The following is a 22,091-nucleotide window of genomic DNA, read 5'->3' on the forward strand; positions in this document are numbered from 1 at the left end:
ACTGCCTGAATCAGGGGAGAAGGAGGAGGTTGGGAGGGAGTTGAGAGAGAAGAAGGAATGACGTGAGTCCGGAATGCCTGCTTGAGTGGCCAGATGGTGATGGTGTTGGTAACTGAGGTGGGGACCCCAGGAGGAGGAGGAACAGGTCTGGGGGAAGAAGATGTGTTCAGCTGTGGACAATTGAGGACAAAATGCTGCAGCCATTGGTAGTCCTGGATGCCTCTAGGTGGCAGTTCAAGTGGCATCCAGAACTACCAGTCTGGAGATCAGGAGAGAGCTCTGGTAGCAAGCAGGGCAGGGTGGGATATTTGAAATAGAGGGCCAGGAAAGGCCATTATAAAAAGGGAACATTCAAACAGACACTTGAATGAAATTATGAAGCAAGCCATGCAAATATTTCACACAGGTAGCTAGCCAGCTCTCCAAGCTGCTCTTCCTAACGGCATTAGAGCCATGGAACGGAGTGTTGGTGGAAAGATGCTCACTGACCAGTAAAGGCATATCCTCCTCTCTCCTCCTCCAGGTCAATGGGGCAGGAGGCTGTTCATCTGTGAACTCCAGAGAGGCTACTGGCCTTGCTGTTGAGTGTGCGGAGGACTACAGGATTCCTCAGACTCCATCTATGCCCTCTTCTTCCCCCTTCCCGCCCCTGATTTTTGAATCCGGCATTAGAACCTCCCAGGGCTTCCCTTTAGGTCTTGACTGTAGCCTGTACCTAGCTGCAATGAGCTCCTCTTGGTGCAGATACTGCTTCTGAGCACTAGAGGGCTCTCCTGAGGACCCATCAGCCTGGATGAGATCCAGGAAAACGTGTCCTCTGAGGATGGTTTCTTGTAGGATTGTGGTACAATGGATTAAAGCAGGGGTGTCCACTCTTTTGGCTACCCTGGACCACATTGGAAGAAGAATAGTCTTGGGCCACACATAAAATAGCTAACGCTAACGATAGCCAATGAGCTAAAAAAAATTGCAAAAAAATCTCATAATGTTTTGAATTTGTGTTATCTCATAGGTTTATGAATTTGTGTTGGGCTGCATTCAAAGCCGTCCTGGGCCGCGGGTTGGACAAGCTTGTATTAAAGCATCATACAGCTTATGCAAGCTCAAATTATATTCTAATGTGGGCTTCAAAACCACCTTATCTGGTAAATGCAATGACTAAGACAAGAAACTCTCACGAAAGTCTTATTTCTTTTGTTGAATGAATGAATGATGAGTACTTTTGCAAAATTCCAGGAGAATTTCCAAAAAGGGATGTGAATAGGAAGTAAAGCAATTGCTGTTTTCCTATACTCAAGGCAAGCCCCAGCTGAGTGTTATTCCCTGATGACCCTTCCAGCTGTTACTACTGATTTGGGCGGAGACTTTTACTGGCTTCCTGATAACAAAGCCCTCATAGGAGGGAATCTCTCAACAGCAGAAGGCTGTGGCTACTGGAACGCTGAGTTCTCTCAGACACATTGAAAAAGTATTGTCTTGCTACAGTGAAGCCTTACCGTCATGGAATACACTAGACCGGTAAGATGGAGTTTATGCTAGCCAGGTCTGAATGGTACAGTACTAAAGAACAGCAAATTCATTAGGTAAAAAGGGAGAATGTCTACCTTTTTTGGATAAAAAGCATTTAAAAAATCTTATTATTTCAAAAGGGAACATGCTGTTTGTTCTTCAACGAGGTTATTCTTTAGTGTCATACCGTCTGCTAGGTTAGGTCTATACCAGGCAATACATCTTAGATTTTTGACCCACAAATGCCATATTCTTGCCGCTACAATTATCTACCGTGTCTAAAGGAAGTAGGTTTATGGTAAGCACCAATTTAAATAAAAATGAAAAATACAGCAGGCCTGAAGATATTCTGTTTTTTTTCTGTTAGTGCTGCTACCATATTCTGCGTTGGATGTGAGTTCTCAAGTTCTGGTCCATGGGGAATGGGCAAGTGAAGATGAGAATTGCAAAAAACTATACTCCGACCAATAGGCAAGTTTGGTGAATTCATTGTTTTGCCATCCTGAAAATAGTAGCCATGAAGGCTTTCATATCTGCCACCACTAGATGTCACTAGATATCAAGCTTCTTAGAACAACTGCGTTACAGGCTTGAACAACTGCTCCCCTCATTCTATTAATACAGTATTTTAAAACTGTATCTGTACTGTATACATTTTCCACATTGAATCTTGTGCATTTAATGTGACATTCATTCCTAGGAACCGAGCTTCATTCTGACCATAAGGCAGCTTACTTTTTGGATAGGAATAACTCCTCTAGCCTCTCCTTTATATGGCAAGTGAATTCAGATTTCCTTTGCTGTTAAAATATCCTGGTAAAGATGTGCATGATTCTGTTTTCACGTTGGCAAAATACTTGTCCTCTGATGGGTTTTGGCTGACTCAGTGCAACGTGACAAAAGTAGAAGCTTGATTGCCTTGCTTATGATTTAGGCTCCTCAGACAGTGTGATGCTTTCATAGAGGTCATTTTAGCCATCTGGGGCCTTCAGACAGGGCCACCATGTAAACCATCTGGGACGGGTGAAGAGCCTGTACTGGTTTAGAGACCTCTATAGAAAAGGTCTTTGCTAAAACAAAACCCTTTTCTTTGAAGCCCCTTAATCCCTTTATCTTTCTGCAGGCTTTCTTGTCATATTTTCTATGACAGCTCTCAGGGGACCAAAGCCAGCAGAATTTTCTCTGCCTTGGGAATATCTATCTCCATCAGTAATTCAGACAGTAGGAAGGAGAACTTGTCGTGTGTTCCCAAAGGGGCCCTTCAATTGTGCATTTGATGTTGACAACTTTCTTTGTCATGAAGAATGGAATTCAGGGCTGTGAGGATCCACAGTCTAATGCTAAAACTTTGGAGCTATATGAGGCTTCACAATTTCCAGAGCCCTTTCACATCTACCACCTCACTTTATTCTCACAACAATCTATTAAGGGAGGCAGGGTGGGTATTTTTATTTCCATTTCACAGGAGAGGAAACAGCAGCTCAGAGAAGTTAAATGGCTTGCCTAAGGGTCCCTCAGCTACAAAAGGTGGTGTCATGACCCCCCCTTGCATCTCCAGGCTCCCGGGCCTTGAGACCTCCCTCCCGCCATGACACCAAGCTGCTTCCTGTGGTGGAATTGTTAAGGGCCACAAGAAGTGGGCCTCTAGCAAGACTGCTTCCTCAAAGCTGGCAAAGGATCAGAAATCTGGGGTGGGAGAATTCAGAGCAAGAGCAGAGGAGTCCCTGGTCTCTCTGCTGCCAACTGCGCACCTTCTCAAGGTATCCAACCAAGGCAGACTAAATGATTCGGATAATTGCTTGAATGGCACTGCTTGCTGAAACTGTTATTTAAAAGATGTGAAAAAGATGGAAAGTACAGAGGAAGCCTATACAAATACCTCAACAATTGCAAGGCATTTTGGGTAGAAAAAGTGTTCAAGATATAAAGCTTGTTTCATTCAAAAAAGAATAATTGAGAAGGAGAATTTGAATATTGTTGTCAAGTCAAAACCCAGAACTTATCCTGGCCTTGGAGTGTAAGAGAAGATGGACAGGATGGAGTAGACTGAGGCAATGGGAACAACAGTACCAGGTGGGATGAATTGACTGCCTTCCCCAACCCTGAGAGTCAGGAATGGGTGGGGGAGAGTGCTGGGAGAATTCTTTTGTCAATATCAGGAGCTACTGTTTGACTGAACTGTATCTATAAAGCATTTTGCTAACCTGATGAAAACCACTAGCTAATCACTAAAATAACCTGTTAATCTGTTGAGTGGGATCCCTTTCCTGATGAATAGAGACTTTGAAAAATACTGCTTAATCAATGATGACGACTGAGCTAATTTTCCACCGCAGCCAGTATTTGACTGGATGGAGCTAAAATTTCCTACTTACCAGCCATGGCTGTTGGAAGTAAAGGCACCTGTCTGGTGTTATTTCTGAAAGAGGCCCTACCAGCAAAATCCGTGTTTGTGAACTCCTAGGTTCGTTTTGCAAGACTAGCCCTTCAGTTCTCATTAGAGCGAGTGGTTTTCAACTTTGGCTGCACCTGAAAATTGCTTGGTGAGCTTTTAAAAATTGCTGATACTTGGGCTTCATTCCTGGACGTTCAGATTTAACTGGTTTGGGGTAGAGCCCAGGCACTGGTATTTTTTTTTTTTTTGCCTTCTACCTATTTTTTTTTTATTATACTTTAAGTTCTAGGGTACAGGTTTGATACGTAGGTATACATGTAACATGTTGGTTTGCTGCACCCATCAACTCGTCATTTACATTAGGTATTTCTCCTAATGCTATCCCTCCCCCAGCCTCCCATCCCCCAACAGGCCCTGGTGTGTGATGTTCCCTGCCCTGTGTCCAAGTGATCTCATTGTTCAATTCCTACCTATGAGTGAGAATATGTAGTGTTTGGTTTTCTGTCCTTGTGATAGTTTGCTGAGAATGATGGTTTCCAGCTTCCTCCACGTCCCTGCAAAGGACATGAACTCATCCTTTTTTATGGCTGCATAGTATTCTGTGGTGTATATATGCCACATTTTCTTAATCCAATCTATCACTGATGGACATTTGGGTTGGTTCCAAGTCTTTGCTATTGTGAAGAGTGCTGCAATAAACATACGTGTGCATGTGTCTTTATAGTAGCATGATTTATATTCCTTTGGGTATATACCTAGTAATGGGATTGCTGGGTCAAATGGTATTTCTAGTTCTAGATCCTTGAGGGATCACCACACTGTCTTCCACAATGGTTGAACTAATTTGCACTCCCACCAACAGTGTAAAAGTGTTCCCATTTCTCCACATCCTCTCCAGCATCTGTTGTTTCCTGACTTTTTAATGATTGCCATTCTAACTGTTGTGAGATGGTATCTCATTGTGGTTTTGATTTGCATTTCTCTGATGACCAGTGATGATGAACATTTTTTCATGTATCTGTTGGCTGCATAGATGTCTTCTTTCGAGAAGTGTCTGTTCATATCCTTTGCCCACTTTTTGATGGGGTTGTTCGTTTTTTTCTTGTAAATTTGTTTGAGTTCTTTGTAGATTCTGGATATTAGCCCTGTGTCAGATGGGTAGGTTGCAAAAATTTTCTTCCATTCTGTAGGTTTTCTGTTCACTCTGATGGTAGTTTCTTTTGCTGTACAGAAGCTCTTTAGTTTAATTAGATCCCATTTATCTATTTTGACTTTTGTTGTCATTGCTTTCGGTGTTTTAGTCATGAAGTCTTTGCCCATGCCTATGTCCTAAATGGTATTGCCTAGGTTTTCTTCTAGGGTTTTTATGGTTTTAGGTCTAACATTTAAGTCTTTAATCCATCTTGAATTAATTTTAGTGTAAGGAAGGGATCCAGTTTCAGCTTTCTACACATGGCTAGCCAGTTTTCCCAGCACCATTTATTAAATAGGGAATTCTTTCTCCATTTCTTATTTTTGTCAGGTTTGTCAAAGATCAGATGGTTGTTAATGTTTGGTGTTATTTCTGAGGGCTCTGTTCTGTTCCATTGGTCTATATCTCTGTTTTGGTACCAGTACCATGCTGTTTTGGTTCCTGTAGCCTTGTAGTATAGTTTGAAGTCAGGTAGCGTGATGCCTACAGCTTTGTTCTTTTTGCTTAGGATTGTCTTGGCAATGGGGGCTCTTTTTTTGGTTCCATATGAACTTTAAAGTAGTTTTTTCCAGTTCTGTGAAGAAAGTCAATGGTAGCTTGATGGGGATGGCATTGAATCTATAAATTACCTTGGGCAGTATGGCCATATTCATGATACTGATTTTACCTATCCGTGAGCATGGAATATTCTTCCATTTGTTTGTGTCCTCTTTTATTTTGTTGAGTAATGGTTTGTATTTCTCCTTGAAGAGGTCCTTCACATCCCTTGTAAGTTGGATTCCTAGGTATTTTATTCACTTTGTAGCAATTATGAATGTGAGTTCACTCATGATTTGGCTCTCTGTTTCTGTTATTGGTGTATAGGAATGCTTGTGATTTTTGCACATTGATTTTGTATCCTGAGACTTTGCTGAAGTTGCTTATTAGCTTAAGGAGATTTTGGGCTGAGACAATGGGGTTTTCTAAATATATGTCATCTGCAAACAGGGACAATTTGGCTTCCTCTTTTCCTAATTGAATACCCTTTCTTTCTTTCTCTTGCCTGATTGCCCTGGCCAGAACTTCCAACACTATGTTGCATAGGAGTGGTAAGAGAGGGCATCCTTTTCTTGGGGCACTGGTATTTTTAATAAGCACCCCAGATGATCTAATGTGCAGTCAGGATTGAGAACCACTGCGCTGGGTGAGCTGCTTTAGAGGACGCCCTCCTCACAGGTGTGGGTAACAGAGAAGCCCAGTTAGCATGGCTTTCCACTCTAGTTTTCTGTTTCCATGAAAGAAGCTTATGCATATAACTTAGTGCAAACATCTACTAATCAATAATTATTTTATTTAAGAGCTAAATCACATTTTAGCCCCAAATTGAAATATTTACCATCACTAGATAGAATTTGCACCACAATTTAATCCAATGTTTCTCACTGTGTTTTTTGACTATTCCTATAAGAATCCTATCAGAATCTGAATGCTTATTAACATGCAGATTTCTGACCCCCATTCCAGACCTACTGAATCAAGTACCTGGATGGAAGCCCAGGAATCTGCATTATAGCAGTTGTTCCAGGAGAGTCAACAGTAATGCTTAACTGGTTTTCAGTTAATATTAACCCTGTTTGTCCTGAGGACAATAGTAAATCTTAGTTCTTTTAGTGTTTTCTTTTGTTTTTGCAATTACAAGACTTCTAGCTCTGTGGTCTCCACCATTTCTCCATCAGAACCATATCCTTTTTTTTTTTCCGTATAGACTGTTGACTACCGAGAGGGTGGCCTGATTTTAACCTTTCTGGCATCCTTAACCAACTAAAATGTCCCTTGTATCTTCTCTCAATTCTGTCACAAAGCAGAAAAAAAAAGAAAAATGAAGTAGCAGCATGATATCACTGATCTGCTTAAGAACCCCATGATTGTCTATTTTCAATTAGCAGTTTCCCTGCCAGCTGGCCTCTAAGTCTCTCCAAGCTTGCCCTGGTAGCAGGTATCCAGCTGCTTAGTGTTTGCTGATTTATTTGCATAAAATTTTCCCTTAATAACTGTCTCTCCCAGGATCAAACACCTCTGCTTTTGGCACAGTTTTCTCTCAAGAGTTTGGAGTTACCAAGCCAAGCTCTATCCATGATGATGAAAACCTATCATTAGAGAGCATGATGTAATTGTGAAGTAGCTGTAAAATGGTTTCTCCATGCATATGAAATATTTCAGATTCCTGCTTTACTATTGTCCCTCTCCTGGTTCTGGCCTAACAGTAAAAAGATTCTGGGTGCCTTCCTCATAATTCTACTATTATATCTTCTTAAAATCAAGTTGCCTTAAATCCAACTCCCAGCCACACTGAAGGATCAATGTGATGACTTTTGAGTGAAAAGACCAGATTGAGCATATGCTAAGAGACCATGTTTCCATGCCAAACACATAGAAATGCCAGAAATATTAATAAATTATTCAAAGTCAAATTAAAAAGAACCAAGTTGAAATCTTAAAAATGAGAAATAGTCATTGAAATAAAAAGCTCAGTAGATGGGTTACAGTATAGGTTAGACACAGATAAAGAGAGAATTAATGATTTGAAAGATGGAACTGACACAGTTTTTCATATGTAGTATAGAGAGATCAAGAGATAGAAATATGGCAGAAATCAGGAGTCATGGAGGATAGAATGAGAAACTCCAATGTATATCTAATAGAAACTCTAGGAGCAAAGAGCAGAGCTCTGTAAGGAAAGAATAGCGATAATGATAAAAAGCCAAGATTCAAAGACACAGTGGCTGAGTATTGTCTAAATATGGAGACATGGGTTTCTAGAAAGAAAAATTCAGAATGTCAAGAAGGATTGAAAGAGAAAAAAAAATCTTTTGGTGAGTTCCATTGTGGTAGAACAGCAGAATATAAAATCCTAAAATCCACCAGAGTTAGCTGTGAGCCAACAGCAATCAGACTGACAGCAGAGTTTTCACTGGTAATTGTCAGAAGACAATAGATACCACTCTGAAACACTCTAATCCTAGAATTTCATATTCAGTTGTTAGGAACCAACCTAAGCCTAGTCAATCACTGCCTTATTTTTTGGGTAAATTTTGGTGGCCTCCAGTGATTAGTAGTAAGTGAGATTTCCTTCTGCACAATCTTGCCACCAGGTAGGATATTTATAATGAAAGCAAGTATCAGGGTGAATTCTACCATGGTCACAAGCATTTTTTGGTAAGCAGGCACAAGTAATAGTCATGCTTGTTCTTATAAGGTCAATTAAATTATATTTCTTCATTCTTTAGGCATTTCTACTAATGCCTTGCATAAAAGACTCTCTAGAGGCAGATGTGATAATATTCTAGAAGCAGAATCAGCTCACTTTCCTGTTGGAAATTAACAGAGTCCTCTGTGAAATGGTAGAACACAGGTAGAAAGCAAGTCCATTGCTTGCAGGGAGTTGAGCTGCTGGGTGGACCTAATATTACACCCTGTTCATGCAGAAGTGAAGGAGGTACCTGTACAATATTCCTAACCAATCTGCATAGCTTGACCACCAATTATTTCAACAATTAAAAAATATTTCTAAATCATCATGCCAATTAATGCTCTCCTGTGGTTTTAGACAGCAGTATTTACTAGGCTTGAAGAAGTTGCCTCTGAGGAGTCTAATCTTGAATGGGATCTTTCAATTCTAATTAACCAACCTTGGAGTGTTTATCATTGATTAGGTACTTCCAATCTTTACCAACCACAACTAGCATATATTCAGAAATATATGTCATGCTACTTCTTCTGAAATATTTTAAAACAAACTGTAGACTATATAACACCAGCTGGATGATATTTTAAAAGTGAGGGAAAAATGAAGATATTTTAGATATGAAAGAACTTGAAGAGTTTACCACTCACAGATAGAAATAATAAAGGATGTTGTAAAGCTGGAATAAAAATGGACCAAAAGAAAGGTATGGGATGCAAGAAGCAAACAATAACTTATTTATATGTTTAAAAGCAAAATATAACTAAAATTCTGACATAAAAATAACAAAGGTTCATTTGGGAAGGGAGTTAAAGCAAGCTAAAGTTTAGGAGATACATACAGATACCAAATAACTTTAGACTCAGTTACAAAAATATAGTTAAGTATGTATTTTAAAATCTAAAGAGTAACCACTAAAAGAATGTACATAGAAAGTGAAACTTTTATTTATAATTTAAATTAAAAAAATTAAATTGCAAGTTTTATTACTTCAATAACAACAAATAGATTTAACAAAATAGATTTAATTTTACTAAGGAACAATTCACCCACCTATTTATTATGCCATAATAAACTTTTATTTTAGACTCAGGGACTGTATATGCAGGTTTGTTACCTGGATATATTGCATGATGCTGAGGTTTGGGGTATGAATGATCCTGTCACCCAGGTACTGAGCTTGTTACCCAACAGTTAGTTTTTTGATCCTTCCTCCTCCCCCAGTAATCCTTAGTTTCTATTGTTGTCATCTTTATGTCCCTGAGCACCCAATGTTTAGCTCCCACTTAAAAGTGAGAATATGTAGTATTTGGTTTTCTGTTTCTGTGTCAATTTGCTTAGGATAATGACCTCCACATGCATCCATGTTACTGCAAAGGACATGATTTTATTCTTTTTTTGGCTGCATAGTATTCCTAGTGTATATGTACTGCATTTTATTTATCTAATTCACCATTGATGGGCACCTACATTGATTTCATGTCCTTGCTATTGTGAATAGTGCTGTGATAAACATACAAGTGCATATGTCTTTTTGGTAGAGTGATTTGTTTGTTTCCTTTTGGATATATACCCAGTAATGGTATTTGCTGAGTTGAATGGTAGTTCTGTTTTAAATTCTTTGAGAAATCTCCAAACTGCTTTCCACAGTGTCTGTACTAATTTACATTCCCACTAGCAGTGAATAAGCATTCCCTTTTCTCCACAGCCTTGCTGGCATCTGTTATTTTTTGACTTTTTGACAAAAGTTATTCTCACTGGTGTGAGATGGTATCTCATTGTGGTTTTGATTTACATTTCTTTGATGATTAGTGAGGTGAAGCATTTTTTCATATGTTTGTTGCCTGCATGTATGTTGTCTTTGAGAAGTGTCTGTTCATACCTTTTGCCCATTTTTAAATGGGGTTATTTGTTTTCTGCTTGTTGAGTTTTTTACATTCTTTATAGATTCTGGATGTTAGACCTTTGTTGGTTGATGCATAGATGGTGAATATTTTCTCCCATTCTGTAGTATGTCTGCTTACTTTGTGGATAGTTTTTTTTTGCTGTGCAGATGCTCTTTACTTTAATTAGGTCCTACTTGTTAATTTTTGTTCTTGTCACAATTGCTTTTTAGAGCTTAGTCATAAATTCTTTCCCAAGGCCAATGTTCAGAATGGTGTTTTCTAGGTTTTCTTCTATGATCTTTATAGTTTGAGGTCTTACATTTTTATCTTTAATCCATCTTGAGTTAATTTTTGTATATGGTGACAGGTGGGGGTCCAGTTTCATTCTTCTGCATATGGCTAGCCAAGTATACTAGCACCATTTATTAAATAGGAAGTCCTTTCCCATTGCTTTTTTTTTTTTTTGACCCAATCTTGCTCTGTTGCCCAGGCTGGAGTGTAGTAGCATGATCTCAGTTCACTGCAGCCTCCGCCTCCTAGGTACCAGTGATTCTCCTGCCTCAGCTGGGATTACAGGCATGCGCCACCATGCCTGGCAAATTTTTGTATTTTTAGTAGAGACAAGATTTCACCATGTTGGGCAGGCTGGTCTCGAACTCCTGACCTCAGGAGTAAGTGCTAGGATTACAGGCATGAGCCACTGCACCCAACCCCATTTTTTTTTATTTTTGTCAACTTTGTCAAAGAAAGATCAGATGGCTGTAGTGTGTGCCTTTATTTCTGGGTTCTCTGTTCCGTTCCATTGATTTATGTGTCTGTTTTTGCATCAGTACCATGTTTGGTTACTTATGGTATAGTTTGATGTCAGGTAATATGATGCTTCCAGCTTTGTTCTTTCTGCTTAGGATTACTTTGACTATTCAGGGTCTTTTTTGATTCCCTATGAATTTTAGAATTTTTTTTTTTTTTTTTTTTTTTTTTTTTTTTTAGTTCTGTGAAAACAACGTTGGTAATTTGATAAGAATAGTATTCAGTCTGTAGATTGCTTTGGGCAGTATGGCCATTTTAGTGATATTGATTCTCCCAATCCATGCACATGGAATGTTTTTCCATTTGTTTGTGTCACTATGATTTCTTTCAGCAGTGTTTTGTAGTTCTCCTTGTAGAGCTCTTTTACCAATTTGGTTAGATGTATTCCTAGGTGTTTTATTTTTCTGTGTGGCAATTGTAAAGGGGATTGTGTTCTTTATTTGGCTCTCAGCTTGAACATTATAGGTGTATAGAAATGCTACTAATATTTGTACATTGATTTTGTATCCTGAAAGTTTACTGAAGTAGAAAGTATAACTTTTAAATTGGGGTAGAAAATAAAGGATTATGAATGTAAAATTATAGAAGAAATGGACTGAAAGACACATACTAAACTCAGGGCAGTGATTTTCTGGGAGTGAAAGCTTGGGGGTAAAAGTGAAAAAGGAGGGATGAGGCTCATGAATAGACAGCAAATAAAATTGTTAATTCTGCATCATGGTGATATGGAATTCCAAAATATTAATCTTTGCTATTTTTTTGCATTGTTCAAAAAAAAAAGAAGTCTTAAGGAAACCACATGTTACAACTGTGGATCAGTTTAAGTGCAGCAGCTTGGAGGAAATCAAAGGCTTGGATAAAAGGCACACGGAATGAGTGCCTTAAAAGCAAGAACCAACTGTTTCAGTTGTTATATTAAGTAGATACTCAATAAACTCTTGCAGGTAGAGGTTGAACTCTGAACATGCATCTACTTTCTTCCTGGGACTCCCAACCCCTCCAAACAGCTATCTTTCTCTGAAGGGTCAAGATCTCTCTTGGGATTCTCTGTTGTTGATCTACCCCTTCTGAGGGCAAGCCCCAGTAGACACAAAAGTAATTATGGCACCCTGGCCTAACCTCAGAATGTCTAGCCTTTAGGTATTTTCAAGTCATTTGGGCTCGCTGAACCTTATAAACCTGTCTGTTGAAGACTATTGAATAAATTCCTGGGAATATTTGAGGGAGCAATTCCTCAGCACTGCTGGCCTATGCCTGGGATGAGAGTATGCATGCCTCAAAACAATTCCTCAGCACTGCTGGCCTATGCCTGTGATGAGAGTATGCATGCCTCAAAACAATTCCTCAGCACTGCTGGCCTATGCCTGGGATGAGAGTATGCATGCTTCACCTTCGCTACGTGGGGTGAGTTTCTTGCTCTACTGGGTATTTATGGCAGCCTTTCTTCTCTCTTTGTAGAATTGTTGTCATCCTTTCTCTACGACTCCAAGAGAAACTTTATACTGGAGGAAGAATATTCTACCACTTTGGGATGCTTCCAAAGAAATGGGATACCAAAGGAGTGAACTTCAGGTCATTGGAAGTGGCCAAGCTGGAGGGCGACCTATGGAGACATGGTGAGACTGGAAGACCTCTTGGGTCCCTTGTACCTCTGAGATTCAAGGATTTTGGGATCATTGGTGATAACCCCTAGAATCAGGTTAAACCCTAGAAAACATGCTTGGATAGGGGGCCTCTAAGCAACTAACAAATATTTCATGCAAAGAAGTAATGCTATTGGTAGAGATTCTGAGGTCAGATACCTTGTTAGATTAGCAAGGTATTTTCTAATGCTTCTGAGAGGCATCAATTACAGACAATCATAAATTTCATCTGTGAATAAATCTCTGATGCTGCTGCTTCCCCTGCAGTGCAGAACTGACCAGGGGCTCCTCTGATGGAAAGCTATTTGCTTTGCAGTTAGCAAAGGGAATGAAATTCTTTTTGAATTCTTTGATGGCATATCCAGAAATTAAACTTATTCTACTGTCCCTTGAAATGTAAAGTCACATGGCATCCATTTGGTATTTAGTGCATGCAATCTTGCTTGATGAGTTGTTGTTAGGTGCACAGGTTTTGTTTCCTCAATTCATGTATTACCTTCCAGAGGGAGGAGCTGTGTCTTACACTTTGTATCACTCACAGTGTCTAGCAGCATATTCTATACATATTGGTGCTCAATGATTGTTTATTAAATCATTGACATGAGCTAATATAGAGCTTGATAGAAATGATTGAGCTAAGTTTATTTTAAGGATGATAGTCAATGTGTCTCTTCACTAAAGACAATACTTGTCATTGTTTTTTGCTCCTTTATCTTCACAGTCCACTTCTGTATGTTCTCCTGTGGGTCACAGGACTGTCTATGCATCCATACAAAATGCAAAACAGGGGATGACATCCTAGAATGAATTGTGGCAAAACAGCTTCAAACTAGCCAAGAAGACAAACAAAATATGGAGGGAAAATTGAATAAAATTAAATACCCAGAGTAATGCCCCCCAAGGCAGATCCCCAATCAAGGATTTGAGCACATGTAACTCAACTGAGAGTTCACTCCAGAAGCCACTGGTAGATGGGTGGGGAAGTGAGACGAGAAAAGACACCAGTAAAGGGTACGTGAAAGCCAGGCACCTGGAGCTGGGGCATGTGGGAGAATGTTGGGAGACAACATAGGACTTCCCCCGGGGTCATTGCAGCTGGATATTGATTCAGCAGCTTTCATCACTGGTTCAGGCTACCTTTGGGGTCATTAACTCCTTGACTCTTCCACCTTGCCCTATGTGTCAGCTGAGTATGTTCCCAAAATCAGAAAAAGAGCCCTCCTCGGTCAGACAGTCACAGGGGTTCCCAGTAAGCAGTGTTTGTCATGTTGTGTGGAAGTGGAGCCGGGAGGATGGACAGGTTTCAGGGTGCCACTGCAGGTGGCACACATGTGTGCCATGAGGGAATGCTCTGTGCAGCCTGGGAGGGGACTCCTGTGGTGGCAGCCCACATTTCTCCTCCCCTTGGGAACTTGTTTGTCCCTGTCTCACTGTACCTGACTGTGGCAATTCAGCCTTGGCTCTGATGTCAGCTTCCTCTGCCGCCCTCTTTCCTAAGCATTAGGCCAGGGCCCCCAGCTCTGCTCCTGATGGCCAGGGAGAGCCATTTCTGGGCTAAGCACACTGTGGCAACTGAGAGGAGAAAAGTGAAAGAAAGGCTGTGTGGCTCTGACCATTTGTCACCTCTGCTGAAGTGGTATTTAGGGAGATTCAGCTCCCAGAGGTGTTTTCATTTTAGTAGGCGGCTCTCAGTCTAGAAGTCTATAGGATTCAAAAGAAGGAATGTTTCAGGTGTGATTTGGGCACTCTGACAGTCTATTTGTGGCAGGGCCTCAGGAACATCACACACAAGCAGGAGATCCTGGCTCATTTCTCTCCCTGGTCCTGGCTCCACAGCCTCCATCTCCTCAGAACAGGAGACTGTAGGAAACCCCATTCCCAGGCCACATGGATGCAATAGTCCCTGTCCCACTGGCTCATACCCTATCCCATCAACACTGCCAGTCCTCTACTGGGAGTAGGATTCTGGGAGAGAGGGAATTCCCTTCTGGGAGGAGCTAGGCTAGGTAGAAGCCATACAACCTGAAGGGTCTCAGACTACCTGGGTTTGCATCCCTGTCTACTCATCAGCTGTAGGCCTTTGGAAAAGTTATCTAAATTCCCTATGTCTCAGTCTCTGCATCTGTGAAATGGGATAATAATAGTACTTACCTCACAGGGTATGTGAGGATGAAATGATTATTTTGTGAGAAGTGCTACGAACTGCTAAGAAGTCCTGGCATAGTAAGTGTTGTGAAATATACAGGACAGGAGTGTGGAGCTGAATGCCAGGGGATAGGGGCTCTAACAAGTGGTGGAGTCGACAAGCTGTGTGACCTTGGAACAGCCGTTTAACCCCTTAGAATCTCAGTTTCTCTTTGTAATATTTACACAAAGTCGTTGTGAGAATTAAGTGAGGTAAGGATGTGAACTATCGAGCACAGAGTTTGTCCCACATAAGACAATTTGGATAAATATTGCAACTGTAGTAAAAGGTCTTACCGAGGATTTACCTTGTCTTTTGCACAAGAGATTAAGTCACTGTGGTGAAACTGAAGAGGAAGCTTTGTCCTTTTTGGATGTGGGTGGGAAGGAGAGAAGATGAGGTACGCGTCGGGATGGAGTGGGGAGGGGAGGATGAGGGGGGAAGGGAACAAAGGGGAGCTGTAGGAATTTATTCAAAGGAAAAGACATCATTATATTGAAGGGCCATCTGAACCCCTGTGTTTATTGCAGCACTATTCACAATAGCCAAGACCTGCAATCAACCTAGGTGTCCAACAACAGATGAGCAGATAAAGAAAATGTGATATATATATATATATATATATATACACACACACACAATGGACTATTAATCAGCCATAAAAAGAATGAAATCCTGTCATTTGTGGCACCATGGAGGGAACTGGAGGACACTATGTTAAGTGAAATAAGCTAGGAACAGAAAGTTAAACACTATATATTCTCACTTATATGTGAAAGCTAGAAAAAGTTGATCTTATAGAAATGAAAAGTAGAATAGAGGATACTAGAGGCCGGGAAGAGTTGGGGGAAGAGGGGGCTAGGGAGAGATTTGTTAAAGGACACAAAATTATGGCTAGATGGGAGGAGTGAGTTCTAGTGTTCTATACCACTGTAGGATGACTGTAGTTAACAATAACATATATATAGTTTCAATTAGCTAGAAGCAGGGATATTGAACAGGAGGAGAACCAGTGGATTTCAAAGGCTGAAAAGAAAGATCTGCTTGCTTTCTAGGGGTTGGAGGCACAGGGATGTGGATTACGGGGAATTGAAATAGTCAGAGAGTTCTTGCTATGTAAAACAATTCTGACAGACAATCCCTGGAATCCTGACACCTGGAGGAGGGAGGGAGGGAGTATCACCTAAGAACTGCTGTCCTAGAACCCTTGCTGGGGAGAGGGGTGCACAGCCTTCGCTGAGCTGGACATTAAAGTTGACCATCCTCCCTCAGAAGACCAAAGGTATAAGGCCAGCACAGTGTGGAGGGAACATCTCAGGCTGTGGGCAGTCAGAGTTCAGCAGCCATGTTGGTGGCAGCAAGGAACCAGGCAGGAGTGGATTGTTCAGAGACCAGTGCTCTCCTTGCCGAATATGAGAGGCAGGCTGGCCATTAATATGGGGCTGAGGTTATTAGGAAAATACTGGACTTATTGCTTTATGGTAGGTGGGTGACTGAGGTGGTTTTATTTTATTTTATATATATATATATACACATACATACATATATATACATATATATGTATGTATATATATGTATATATATGTATGTATGTGTATAGAGAGAGAGAGAGATTGAGTGATGGATGCATGCTAGCTGTGGCCTGAATTAATGGAGCAAGTCTTTGTTCTGTGTCCTATTGGTAAAGATAGGAGAATTCTTTAGTGCTCTAGGGTTGTCTGTTCTCACTGGGGCCTTTGGTCAGGAAAGGCGGCCATTCCATGACAAGAAACCCAGGAGCAGGACCTGTGCCCCTCCTCACACAGGATACCTACAACAGGCATTTGTAATGACTTAGAAATTCATGCACTACTTTTCTCATTTAATTCTTATAATAACCCTGCAAATAGGCATTTGTCTGCATTTTAGAGATGAGAAAATTGAAGCCTAGAGAGGTGCAGTCATTTGCCCCGGTCTCATGATGGAGGTGGTGCTCAAGCACAGGCCAATTTCAAATTCTGCTTTGCTTCCCATATCCCATTCTCCCCCATGAGACTTCACAGTGCGTGTGTGAAGTGCTCCGGATGTTGGGATTGAATACAATGGCAGTTCTATTGCACACATTTTTCTTTCTTGCCGGGAGTCTAGGCTTCTTTAAGTGCATAAATAATACATAAATTAGTATGTTGAGCTGATTCCCACACTTTTTCAACAGACCTTCAGTTCTTCCTGAGATCGATAAAGCTTAAAAGAAAAGAAAAAGCCAACTCAGCTTGTGCGTGGATCCTGGACCTTGCTCTAATACAGACCCCGCTCCTGGAGTGTAAGCCATGCTTGACGGCTCAGCTTTCTTGTCACTAATGAGGTGGGATGTGGTTGTGCATTCAAAATCTAGCAAGGACGAAGTGAGTGCACCACTGATTAAACATGGAGAGAAATTTCTTTCCAAAGGGCTGTGTAAGAGGAGAAGCAGGAGATGTATGTAAGATTTCTCATTTGTGCAATGCATCCTCTGAACCACTGTGATGCCACGGGCTGCTGAACTTTCCACAGGGGCCATTAGGGACGAAATCACACCGATGGAATGAAAGGGAAAATAACCAAAGACAACAGCAACAGCTCAAAACACCAGAAAAAGCAGCAACACTATATCTATCCGTCACTGGCCCAACTCGACATCTGGAAAAGAACCCAGAGTAGCTGCCAACCAGATGGCCCCTTGGTGTAAGTGGGAGGAGGTACCTGTCCAGGCACATGCAGCCCTACACAGGCTGAATTTCAGGCCTCCTCGTGCAGGGAACCCTCTTCCCAGCTGTACATGGTCCCCTGAGCATTCGCATGTAATTCTCTCATCTTTCCAGCCATTCTTTTTCTCTTTCCTTTTTTTAAGGCCTGGCAGCTACCTTTTTTTTTTTTTTTTTTAGGACCGTGAAGCTGCAGCCTCTGACATGATATGTAGATAAAAGACGTCACGGGGATAAGAGCTAGAGAAAGCTTTAACGAGAAGAGCTTAGACCATTTTCAAAGCTCCTCCACAGTGCACGGAGGGGCCCAAAGCTGGCGGAGCGCTGGGCGACACGCTCCCGCTCGCACCAAGGCCTCGCTCTGATGAGCTGGGCAATTGGGAGACTGTTTGAACAAACCAAAGAAAAATATCAAAAGGCAAATTGGAGTTAGGGAGAAAATGAATAGCCCATGATCTCCAAGGGAGATTACAGAGGTAATGACAAAGCAGGCAGGTTTTTAGAGGCGCTGTTATTCCAAGAAAGGTAATTTTGTTCAACTTATTTTTTTTTTAACGGAAAAGAGGATGAAGAGATCAGCACTAGCTAAATCATCACTGTCAGATAAAAGATAAATCTTTCATTAGGAACCATATCTTTGCATGCCCTTTTGACATTGAAGAATATATTTGATGTAAGGATTTGGGGCTTTATCAAAACTATAGTATTCTAAAATAAACAAAACCACAATGTCATGTTTTATTGGAGAACAGCCATAAAAAAATGAAAAGAACTTTTAAGATTAATAGCACATTTTCCCTATAGGAGCTTTGCTCTTTTTGATAGCTTTTTAAGATCCATACTCACAGAATGTTTGCATATTCAGCAAACATAGACTTAGATAACAAGAGGAGCTGCCTTTAACCCCTGGAGATTCAGACTCCATCCAGTCTTCCAGTGCCTGCCAAGCTAGAGAAAGGACAAAAGAAACCTTAACCAAGAAAAGACCCTCAAGAAACTATCCTGCTGCTCCACCTCCTGGGACTTGGTGCTTCCACCAGGTCCCTTCTTCCTTCCTCTATCCCCCCTCTCATTGGTCCCCCCTCTTACCTGGCCTGGACTGTGCACCTGCCAAGTCTCCCTGGGACTGGCATTGTGCCCATGTCATGGTTCCTGCCTTTGACTTCCCTAAGCCTGTGCCACATCACCACACAGTCTGTTCCCATCCCCCTGGGGAGAGCTCTGCCACCTGGCTGGTCTCCCAACTCATTACCATTGGCTGCAATTCCCGAGTTCTTTGCCTTTCATCAGCCCCTAGCTTCTCTGGACATGATCTTCTGACCAGCCAAGTCTCCTCCTCTTGCCTGCAGCTGTGTTCCCACCTTAATATCTGTCCTACTCTGGTAGACAAATACCTTCCCCAGGTTTCCAAACCCTTTGTCTGGCTTATAAAACACCACTTCTTTAGGAACAGTTCATGGATCTTCAGTTTTGAGCTCTGCCATCAATAGACTCAGAGACCCCCCTCTCTGTTTCTGTTCCATTCTCTGGTGACTTAGACTCCTCATCCTCTACCCAGTGTTTTTTCTCTTCCAAGAGTCTTCATTACTCAGTGCATGCTCCCTTAGAACATCAGCTTCTATGTGGCCCATTTAGCCACTTTGTCTTCCCTCTGTCTCTCTGTTTCCTTCCCCCGCTCTCTCTCTATCTCCCTATCGGTTATAGGTTTACCTTTCAGCTTCCCTTAATTATTGCCTGACTCTCTGATATTTTTGAGAAATTTTATTTGCACAGCTTACACCTTTTATTTATTTATTTTGCATGAGGTTCAAAACATGCAAACAAAGGAAAAAACAGAGAGAATTCTCCTACGAATTGCTTGTTCATGGGACGGGTGCCTCCTTCTACTCTAATCAGTCTGGCTACAGGTTGTCCATTTACAGAAAGTACTGTGGATGTGACACGGTTTCTAGGAAGGTCTTGGGGTGAAGCAGGCACCAGGACATGTCTAGCATTTACCATTTACTATAAAGTAAATAAGGTTCAAATTGAAAAATAATTAAAAGGATCGAGCTATTCCAGGTGGATTAAAAAATGGCCTCAGATCTTTCCAGATTATCAGAGTTCACCAAGTCATCCAATCCTTGGGGAAATAAAATTAATGAAATCGGGTTCTGAAATTCTGAAGAAAAAGAGAAAACACACAAACTCAAAAAACAAAACAAAACAAAAAACTCTGAAGAGGCAGCTTTGTGTAGTAGAAGGAGGAGTGAATGAGACCCAGAAAACTTGGGTTGGAGTTGTCTGTGGCACATTGCATGAGTCATTTCTCTGGGGCCATAGTGGACACTGTGACCCTGCCCCGATCCCCATCACGGGCCCAGGGACCCATCTCCCAGCTGCTGTGGGCACTGAGATCTAACAGCTCACAGCTGTTCCTTTCTCTGGGAACCATCCACTTCTGATATCAGCTCCCCACTTTTTGGGGGAAAGCCTATAGCCAGAGCCCTTCAGGCCAAGACTGAACTTTGCTGAGGTCACATCCTTAACCAGCACTTGCTTCTTCCTTATACTACTTCTCTTACTCCCTCAGATGTGTTTCCTGAAGAGCACGCCCTCAGTAAATCATGGGCACCTGAATCCCTGTCTCAGGCTCTGCTTTCAGGGAATGTGTGACCTAAGATAGCAACTCAGTTTACTTCTCTGTGCAGTGAAGTGGGAGGCTGGGTTGATTAGCTCTGAGGTCCCTTCCTACTCCGATATTCCTTGGTTCTTTTTTGTGCATTATCTCACTTCTATTTCCAAAATAGACCAAGCTTAGAAGAAAACTTGTGATAGTATTGGAATAGCTGCATTTCCATGTAGCTTACTACATAACTGACATAAGCTAAGGGTGTCTTAGCTAATCAGATCTCAACATTTTCTTCGGTTACCCCTGGCAATGGGATTTGGAAGTGTTGCAGGGGTGACCACTGTGGTGTGATTTTTATCAATGTGCTTATATTATACACACACAAAGTTCCTGGCTTTCTGAACCATGCAGACATTTCAGAGTGCTGAGTTCCTGGAATGTGAACCTATTCAGTCACTTCTATCAGCCTGCCTTGGTACTTGTTGACACCTAGGCAGATATTTGGAAGTCTCACATGGTGTTCCTCACATAGAACAATTTGTAAGTCATTTACAGCAATAGGCAGACTGTGTTCCAAGTTATTTGTATCTAAAAAATGTTGGTTGCACATGATTGTATTATTTTCAGTCTCGGCTTGGGTCATGGAAAAACTGAAGATGCATTAGATCATCAAAGAAAATGGCACAAACAACCCTGCAAAAGAAAGGATCTTCTTCCAGATTAAATCTCTTATAATATAACTCCTCTATTGGATGGTTAATTCTAACTATCCAATGTCTCCCTTTTTTTTTCTTTAATTTACCAGCCCGGGCAACATGGTGAAACCCCATTTTAACAAAAAATACAAAAAAATTAGTTGGGGGTGGTGGCATGCGCCTTTAGTCCCAGCTACTCAGGAGGCTGAGCCTGGGAGGTCGAGACTGCAGTGAACCGTGATCATGCCACTGCACTCCAGCCTGGGTGACAGAATGAGACCCTGTCTCAAAAAAAAGAAAAGTTAACAGCCTTTGCCAGAACTTTCTCATATGACCATTGCCAAGTAGCCATCAGTGACTTTCATTTAGGAAACCATATTAAATGAACCTACTGAACATGCAGTTCTTGGTGTGGAACTCAAGATCTGACTGCTTTCTCTTCTACTGACTTCACCTTGTTAGCATAACAAGGCACTCAACACTCCTGTGGCTGAATGAGTTTTGCCATCAATGAGAGATAATAATTATTCCCAAAGGGTTATCTGAGTGTTGCTTAGGGAATACTTACAAAGTGCTTACCGCACCCCCAGTTGGGCTCCAAGTCAGCTCACAGTGTTCCTTCCAAACACGCAGAGCTAGCTGGGGATCATAGCAACATTGAATTCAGAAGTAAGTGGCTTTCTGCTGTTTCTGTCCCCAGATCTGAACAGTCCCAAGCAGAGACCCCCTAGGGAGCTCCCTCTGCCCTGGGCTTTGCTTTGAGCTCTGAATGGGGTCTATGGTGGGAGAAGAAAAGAGGGAGAAGAATTGGCATCTACTTATGGGCTTTGTACTAAGGGCCCTGCCTTATGCCAAAGGGATCCATGGAGCAGACTCAGGGCTTCTTTTACTGTGTGCTGTGTGTCCTCTTCAGTTCATTTTCCTAAAATCCAGGGCCATCCAGCTTCCAGGGTTCAGGAGAGGAATGGTTCGATGGAGATAGGACTGGGAGACAGAAGACCAGGCTCTAAAGACCAGTATGAGCTTGGCCAAGTCAGTTAACCAGCCGGGACTTAGATTTCTTCACCTGAAACAGAAGGGGCTGAGGAGAAAATGCCTCTTTCAATCACAGAATTGTGCCATTTTAGGCATGGTAAAGTCCCAGAAATCATCAAGACCAACCTCCTCACTGATGGATGAAGAAATGGGGTTGGAAGAGTCACTTCTGCACCTGCCAGGT

General features: G+C 41.5%; 1 long non-coding RNA gene across 4 annotated transcripts in view; it reads left to right on the top strand.

The window, feature by feature from the left end:
• LOC124900988 (uncharacterized) overlaps window positions 1-20,983 on the top strand; it is a 34,365-nt gene extending 13,382 nt beyond the window's left edge. The window contains exons 2-5 of one of the 4 annotated variants that reach the window (XR_007058793.1): window positions 12,474-12,631; window positions 17,038-17,145; window positions 17,376-17,546; window positions 17,747-20,983. This is a non-coding gene — a long non-coding RNA (uncharacterized LOC124900988). Of the gene's footprint in view, window positions 1-1,876; window positions 1,981-12,473; window positions 12,632-17,037 lie in introns of all 4 variants that reach the window. The other 3 variants (XR_007058790.1, XR_007058791.1, XR_007058792.1) reach the window with 3 other exon arrangements.
• Window positions 20,984-22,091: the final 1,108 nt, after the last annotated feature.

The sequence above is a fragment of the Homo sapiens genome, chromosome 5 (genome assembly GCF_000001405.40).
Source record: "Homo sapiens chromosome 5, GRCh38.p14 Primary Assembly".
Lineage (NCBI taxonomy): Eukaryota > Metazoa > Chordata > Mammalia > Primates > Hominidae > Homo > Homo sapiens.